The sequence below is a fragment of the Homo sapiens genome, chromosome 8, assembly GCF_000001405.40.
Source record: "Homo sapiens chromosome 8, GRCh38.p14 Primary Assembly".
NCBI lineage: Eukaryota > Metazoa > Chordata > Mammalia > Primates > Hominidae > Homo > Homo sapiens.
The window spans coordinates 91,914,199-91,923,290 of NC_000008.11; the positions used below are offsets into that span (position 1 = coordinate 91,914,199).

At 37.5% G+C, this 9,092-nt stretch overlaps 1 pseudogene; it reads left to right on the plus strand.

Moving 5' to 3' along the window:
• On the plus strand, positions 3,147-3,922 carry MRPS16P1 (mitochondrial ribosomal protein S16 pseudogene 1; annotated as a pseudogene).
• Positions 3,923-9,092: the final 5,170 nt, after the last annotated feature.

The window sequence follows — 9,092 nt, forward strand, 5'->3', positions numbered from 1 at the left end:
TTAGAACCAAAAAATGTAAGAATAAAAAGGGTGATTGCTAAAATATAGACTATTCAAAATGAAAGGCTGTTCTGCCATTTCAAAAACAAAGTAGTGCTAAGGAATTACTTTCTCATTTTTAACTTCCCCAGATTCCTTTAGGATCATGAAAAGAGAGGCCTCCTTTATTCAGTATTTTTCATTCATGTAATAACAACTTACTGTGTGCCAGGCACATTGCTTTATGTTCTGGAGATATAGCAACAAACAAAAGTCCACACCCTGGAGGAGCTTACATTCCAATGGAAAAACAGAGTCAAATAGCAGAAATAAATATATTCTATTATATACAACATATTGTAGGTAATGCAACATGCTATAGAGCAAAAATAAAGCACAATGAGGGAATAGCAATGATGGAGTGGGCGGGGCTCTCTTGTACAGAATGTAGAATCAGAGAGGGCATCTGAATGAAATGAGGGAATGAGCAATGTGTTTAAGTCTCTTAAACACTTCTACACCTAATTCTAAAATTTTCCAGGGTTGAAGACGATGACAAACTAGGGAAAAAACGTTAACCATCCCAAGCAATTTAAGGGGAGACTATCTCAGATGCTTAAAGCCACATAACAAGCAGAGATTTCAGCTTGAACACTAATTGGATTCTCAATTGTGACCTTGAAGGAACACACTGAACTCTATTTATAATTGCTATGGGAGTTACTCTATGATTTAAAGAAAGTGGCCCGGTGGCCCACGACCCTTTTATGTCATCAACTTATTTTATTTATTCACAAAAGCCTGCACCTTGACCTACTTAGACTAGGTTACTTGACTTGATATTTCATTAATTTGGTCACTAAAATTTCTGAAGTATCGTTTCCCCCTAACTTTAAGTATCTTATACTTGGCCAGGCATGGTGGCTCATGCCTATAATCCCGGCACTTTGGGAGGCCGAGGCAGGTGGATCACCTGAGGTCAGGAGTTTGAGACAGGCCTGGCTAACATGCTGAAACCCCATCTCTACTAAAAATACAAAAATTAGCTGGGTGGCGGTGCATGCCTGTAGTCCCAGCTACTCTGGAGGCTGAGGTGGGAGGATTGCTTGAACCCAGGAGGCAGGGGTTGCAGTGAGTAGAGATCACACCACTGCACTCCAGCCTGGGTGACAGAGTGAGACTCCATCTCAAAAAAAATAAGTAAATAAACTTGATGGACTTATACATCTTTTTAAATACTTCCCAAATCCATAGACTACATGGCTCATGGCTCAAAGAGAGTAAAATATGTCCTAGCCTGATGGTTCTCATTCCTTTGAATATTTGGTTATAACATCTAAGGTCATTTTATTGATCCAGATTTGTTTATGAAAACTCACCTCAAGTTTATATTAATATGATCATTTCAGAATATCTAAATTAATGCTCGCTTTTCAAAATGTCTCCACTAAAGTGGGTACAGTGGCTCACCCCTGTAATCCCAACACTTTGGGTGGTCAAAGTGGATGTATGGCTTGAGCTCAGGCATTTGAGACCAGCCTGGGCAACGTGGCAAAATCCCATCTCTACAAAAAAAAAAAAAAAAAAAAAAAATTAGCCAGGCGTGGTTGTGTGTGCCTGTAGTCCAAGCTACTAGGGAGGCTGAGGTGGCAGGATCACTTGAGCCCAGGAGGTTGAGGCTATAGTGAGCCGAGATGTTGCCACTGCACTCCAGCCTGGGCAACAGAGTGAGACCATACCTCAAAACAAATAAAAATAAATAAAAACTGTCTCTACTAAAGTAGTATAAGCTGCAAAGCCAAGATAATTTCTCTGAGGGATATTTCTAACCATATTCACTTTATACAGACATACTGTAGGCAATCGAACTTGAATAAGGAATAGGAACTCTCTTCTTTCTGACAAGACTTGACATAAACCTCTATAACTAAAATAGTTAAGTCGCATTGCAAACTGATCAGTAAGTAAGGAGAAAAACAAACAAACAAACAAACAAAAAACCTAGGTTGAATTTGTGTCTACACAGGTTTGCAACCTTGGAGCCATAGACAATATCATAGAGCCTAGGTGTGTAGTAGGCTCTACCATCTAGGTTTGTGTAAGTATACTCTAAGAAGTTCACACAATGATGAAATCACCTAAGGATGCATTTCTTAGAATGTATTCTCCTTGTTAAATGACACATAACTATTTGAAATTGTCCAAGTGAGTAGGTCTTAATTGTTCTCTCACACACACAAAAAAACAATGGGGTGGATAAATATGTGAGATGATGTATAGGTTAGTTAGCTTGATTGAAGGAATCATCTCGCAATATATACATCTATTGAAACGTCATAAGTATGCACAATGTTTATGTGTTAACTATACCTCAAAAGCTTGGGAGAAAAAAGTAAATGTAATTATTGACTCAGAGGAGGAGGCACCCGCCATTTGGCTCTGGTGGTGTCTCTGAGCCTGGAACTTAAATCTCTGGGATTCTGAGGTCTCTAAGGTCACTGAAGCCAATTCTTCAAGAGATAGAAAAACTATAAGCTGGTTTTAGCTGCTGCTACAGGAAGGCACTTTGAGAAGCATCACTGGGGTAATGCTCAAAGGAACTACCAGGAGAAAGAAATTCTATAGAAAGCCCACAGGGAACAAATAAGAAGAAGCAAATGCCTCCTCCTTTTTCCAAAATTGCTGTATCCCTCTATTGCTGCCTGTTGGCAAATCCTAATATGGAACCAACTGACAAAGTAGAAACATGGTTTGCAGACACCCATTTAGCTGGGTTTGAAGCTGAGATGCAATTACTGACACAGTGGGTTTAATAGCAGGTTAAAGAGAGATGAAGAGAGAATTCATTAATTGGAAGATAGAACAGAAAAAAATATCTAGACTGAAGCTGCAGAGTAAATGGAGAGATAATACACAGCATAAATTCAAAGATCTAACATACATTTAACTGGATTCCCCAAAAGAAAGGAGAAACAGAACAGGACTGATGCAATATTTTAAGAAATAATGACTAAAAACTTTCCAAAATTGACAAAAGACATCAAGACTCAGATTCAAGAAGTACTACAAACCTAAGCCTGGTAAACATTAAGAAAAACACACCTATGAACATCATAGTGAAAATGAAAGTCAAAGACAAAGACAAAAGTCTGCGGGGTGAGTGGATTATCTGCTTTCAGAGTCAAGGTTTTCCGGCTTGGGTAGCCAGGTGTCACGGCCCAGTGTCCACCTGCAGCTGCTTTCTGTGTCAGTCCTCTGCACCGCCAAGGTCATAGAGGTGGTTGGTGTGGGTAGTGGGACACTCCAAGGAGCCACATGCCAGCCGCACCATGGTCCACCTCACTACTCTCCTCTGCAAGGCCTACCATGGGGGCCACTTAACCATCTGCCTTGCCCTGGGCAGCTTTGCCAACCGGCCCTTTTACACCATTGTGGCTGCTCACAGCAAGTGTCCCAGGGATGGTCTTTTGGTAGAGCAGCTGGGATCCTATGATTCATTTCCCAACAGTCATGGGGAAAATCTCATTGCCCTCAACCTGGACAGGATCCAGCATTGGATTGGCTGTGCTACCCACCTCTTTTAAACCTATGGAAAAGCTTCTGGTTCTTGCTGGCTTTTTCCCTCTGCATCGTAAGATGATCACAAATGCTGAGAGACTGTGAAGGAAATAGGCACATGAAGTCCTCTTACTTTCTCAGAAAACAGATGCAGAGGCTACAGAAACATAAGTGAGCCGACTTCAGTGAGCATAGGGTGGGAACAAGGTCAAGGTCCTCTTAAAACACCATGCAGAGATTTTAGTTTTGTTAGACTTGGGGGTCAATAAATGGAGTGTCCTGAGTCACCCTTGTTCTTCTGGCCTGGCCTGCACAGGGCCTAGGGAGAGATTTTTTCTTGTGTGAACAGAGCTGGATCTATGTACTAATTAGGTTTTTTCAGACTTTGTCTTGGTAAAGACAGTGGCTACGGGAGGATTGGATATTTGAGTTGAGCTCTGGGTCTCTTGGACAACTTTACAATCTACTGGCTTCCAAGACTTCCTGCTCCAAAGCCCCCAGCCAGACTGTTCATGGCCCATTCCAAATCTTCATGTTCATCCCACAGGTGCAAAGAACAGTTGCCTTTCTTATTGATTTTGTAATTGGAGAATTATATTGTCTTCCTTAACACATATTTGCAAATATATAAAGGTAGATTGCTTTTGGGCTGTAATAACCTAACTTTTAAGAATGAGAAACTGCTGGGCTTAAGGGAGTTCATGATGAATCAAGATTGAACCATTCAAATGTGTCTGCAGTTTCTCCATGTATGATAGATAGGATCCTTCTGAGGATACTGGAATAGGGAATTATGACACCAAGCTGATTCAACTGTAAACCTTATTCTTGTACTTTTCTTTCTTGCTGGTAATTTTATGGAGCAGGTTAAGAAAGCTGTTCTATGTTAGGATAGATTGTATACTAATTTAAAAAAAAAGAAAAGAAAAAATCTTAAAGCAACCCAAGAGGGAAAAATAATCAAAGATTGTTTTTCTGTTTTCTCTGTGTTCTTAAAATTAATAGGTGATTCCCATTTTAGTAATTGTTACCTCCACTCAGTTGCCTGTGCCTAAAATGCGCATGATGTCTCTCTTTATCTCATTTATATATCCAATTGATCAAAATTCCTTTCTTCTTTGGCTCTAAAATATGTCTCAAGCATATATTTTTTCTATTGTGACCACAACCACCAACTCTTATCTACCATCATCTCTATTTTGTATCAGTGAAATAGTTCCCAAGTGGTTTTGTCTGCTTTTATTCTACCTCCTCCAATCCGTTCTTCATATCACAGCCAGAGAAATCCTTTTTAAATGCTAATATAATCTTGTCACCTTCCTAATGACTACCTATCAGTAGTTTCCAAATACTTTTAGGGCAAAAATCAAAATCTTTACCACGTTCTACTAATTCAATCCGATACCTGCCTGCCTCAACAGATTCAGCTTCCTCTGCTCTTGTCAGCTCTCCAGACCTTCTTTGAGACACAGAAATGTAAAGTGCATCTTCCCACTTTAGAATATTTGTACAGAGAGACCAGATAGCATAGCAGTTAAGAGTATAAATCCTGAAGTCATACTGGAGTCAGAGTATGAGTCTGGATTTGTACCCATTACCTACAAGTTGTAAGTTGTTTAACTTTTCTATGCCTTAGTTACATCATCTGTTAATGCACATTTTTGAAAGTGCCTACTTTGTGGGTTATTGTGAAAATTAATATACATATATTCTTGTCATTCTTGTTTTGTTGTGCTTCACTTTATTGCAGGTATTAGTCTGTTTTCACACTGCAATAAAAAATACCTGAGACTGGGTAATTTATAAAGGAAATAATTTTAATTGACTCATGGTTCCACATAGCTGGGGTGGCCTCAGGAAACTTACAATCATGGCAAAAAGGGGAAACAAACATGTCCTTCTTCACAAGGCAGCAGGGGAGAGGAGTGCAAGTGAAGGGGGAAGAGCCCCTTATAAAACCATCAGATCTCATGAGAGCTCACTATTTTGAGAACAGCATGGGGAAAAGTGTCCCCATGATTCAATTACCTCCACCTGGTCTCTCCCTTGACATGTGGGGATTATGGGAGTTATGGGAATTACAATTCAAGATGAGAATTTGGGTGGGGACAAAACAAAACCATATAATTGCACTTAGCAGATATGGCATTTTTTACAGATTGAATGTTTGTGTCAACTTTGCTTTGAGCATCTCTATTGGTGCCATTTGTTTTCCAATAACATGTGCTCTCTTTGTGTCTCTGTGTAACATTTTGGTAACTCTCACGATAGTTCAAACTTATTACTATTATTATATTTGTTATGGTGGTCTGTAATGAGTGATCCTTTTGTAATTGTTTTAGGGCAACACAAACTTCTCCCATATAAGACAGCAAATTTAATCAATAAATGTTGTGTGTGTTCTGACTGATCCACAGAGCAGCCCTTCCTTCATTTCTTTCACTCTCCTTGGACCTCCCTATTCCCTGAAACACAACAATATTGAAATTAGGCCAATTAATTACACTACAATGGCCTCGAATTGTTCAACTGAAAGAGTCACACAGTTCTCACTTTAAATCAAATGCTAGAAATGATTAGGTTTGGTGAGGAAGTTACATCAAAAGCTGAGATAGGCTAAAAGCTAGGCTTCTTTTACCAAACAGCCGATTTGTGAATGCAAACAAAAAGTTCTTGAAGAAAATTAAAAGTGCTACTTTAGTGAACATATGAATAATAAGAAAGTGAAACAGCCTGAATAATCATATGGAGAAAGTTTTAGTGGTCTGGATAGAAGATCAAATCAGCCATAACATTCCTTAAAGTCAAAGCCTAATCTAGAGTAAGGCCCTAATTCTCTTCAATTCTGTGAAGGCTGAGAGATGTGAAGAAGTTGCAGAAGAAACATTTGAAGATAGCAGAACCTGGTTCATAAAGTTTAAGAAGCTTCATAACATAAAAGTGCAGAGTGAAACATCAAGTGCTGATGGAGAAGCTGCAGCAAGCTATAGAGAAGATACAGCTAAGATCATTAATGAAGGCAGCTACCCAAGACAAGATTTTCTATGTAGACAGAACAGCTTTATAATGGAAGAAGATGCCATCTAAGGCTCTCATAACTAGAGAAAAGTCAATGCCTGGCTTCAAAGCTTCAAAAGATAGGCTGACTGTCTTGTGAAGGGCTGATGTAGTTGATGACTTTAAGTTTAAGTCATTTACTATTCTGAAAACCCTAGGGTCTTTCAGAGTGATGCTAAACTACTCTGCCTGTGCTCTCTAAATGGATCAACAAAGCCTGGATGATGGTACATCTGTTTACAGCATAGTTTACTGGATATTTTTAGCCCACTGTTTAGACCTAATGCTCAGAAAAAAAAAAAAGTACTTTCAAAATATTACTACTCACTGACAAAGCATGTGGTCATCCAACAGCTCTGATTGAGATGTACAAGGAGGCTGATGTTATATTCACACCTGCTATCCAACATCTACTCTGCAGTGCATGGATCAAGGAATCATTTTGACTTCCGAGTCTAATTATTTAAAAAATACATTTTGTAAGGTTAGAGCTGCCATAGATAGTGATTCGTCTGATGGATCTGGGCAAAGTAAATTGAATACCCTCTGGAAAGGATTCACCATTTTAGATACCATTAAGAACATCTATGACATTTTTAGATGGGACATTTTACCTGTGTTTTGGAGGATGAACATGTGTTAATTTGGTGAAGAAGATTAAAGATGGAGTGGCAAACATTCCAGACAGAGGAAAAAGAATAACTAAGGGCTTACATTAATTGAGCACTTACTATGTACCAAGATGTGTGCTAAGTGCCATATGGCACATTTTATTTTATTTTTTAATTATTTATTTATTTATTTTAGAGACAGAGTCTCGCTTTGTTGCCCAGGCTGGAGTGCAGTGGCGTGATCTTGTCTCACTGCAACATCCACCTCCCAGATTCAAGCGATTCTCCTGCCTCAGCCTCCTGAGTAGCTGGGACTACAGGTGTGCACCACCATACCCAGCTAATTTTTGTATTTTTTAGTAGAGACGAGGTTTCACCATGTTGGCCTGGTTCGCCTTGAACTCCTGACCTCAGGTGATCCACCTGCCTCGGCCTCCCAGAGTGCTGGGATTACAGGCATGAGCCACTGCGCCCCACCCAGCCACTAATTTTTGATATGATGATTCTAAAGTTCATCAAACAATAGATAAGAATAATACAGAATTTTTTTAAGTGACTAATTCAAAGGGATTTGCTTTAACCGATATTAAAACATACTTATTAAGCTCCAAAGACTAAAACAATATTATGTCATCAAGTAGAATCTACAGATAGGTGGCTGGAATGGGACAGCCATAAATTAGGTATTTTCATGTACAGATGCAATAATTTAATATTTAACAAAAAAAAATCAGAAGCCTGTAGGGGGAGATAAATTATTTAACAAATTATACTGCAAAAATTGGCTATTTGTGAAAAATGTCAATATGGATTCTCAACATAATAATGAATTCCAGTATACCAGAGTTAAATGTAAAACATAATCAAACCACAAAAAACTAGTTTATATACTCATTTAAACAGCACATATACTAAAATTGAAACACTATGAATATTTGATGTACAAATATTTTAATCATTCTTCTGAAAATCAAAATACTTTAAAAAATGTATATATAAATAATCAATTGTCTTACAGTACATAAAGGCAATGCAAAAAAACGAAAGTAGCAAAGGCCAATGAATTTCCCTGAATAAAAATTTAAACACTTATATGTTAAAGAAATTATAAATAAAACTGAAATTGGGAACATTTACAAAAATTAATTTGATTAGAATTTAATGTTCTCAATATATAAAGATGATGTAAGAAGTAATAAGACATACTTTTACACTCCAGTAGATAAGTAAAGAAAATGAATAGATAATTCTTAGAAGGAATTTAAAAAAACCTGTAATACTCAAAGGAATATTGAAATACCATTCTCTAAATATCAAATCGTCAAGATTTATAAAAGTAATGATACCCATTGTTGGTGAGGAGGCAGTGAAGCAAGCACTCTCATAGGCTAGTAGTAAGGTTTTAAATTAATACAATCTTTTTAGAAAGTAATAAGATAATATGCATTAAGAGTGGAAAGATTCTAAGGTAGAGTGAGTTAGAAAAAACAGAAAAGGGGTGGAAAGAGCCTTTTGGCTTATAAGCCATTTTGAAAATTCTATTCATGAATACTAATTAAGGTAATAGCAAATTACATATATAATTAAAAATTAAATATGAATAACAGAATAAAACTGTATATGTATTATAGTTACAAATCTATTATATGCACAAAATATACAAAAAATAATACGCCAAAATATTAGCAGTAGTTAGCCCTAGGTGATGTGATTAAGAGTAATTTACTTTTCCATTTTTTATATTTCTTTGTGTTTCCAACTTTTTTGCCATGCTTCTGTAATCAGGAAAAATTACTTCACAAAATAGCAAAAGCAAAGTCATGTTAAAATAAACCAATCATTGCTCACTTGTGAGAGTCTGGCATGCATCATGTTGTCTTATTCATC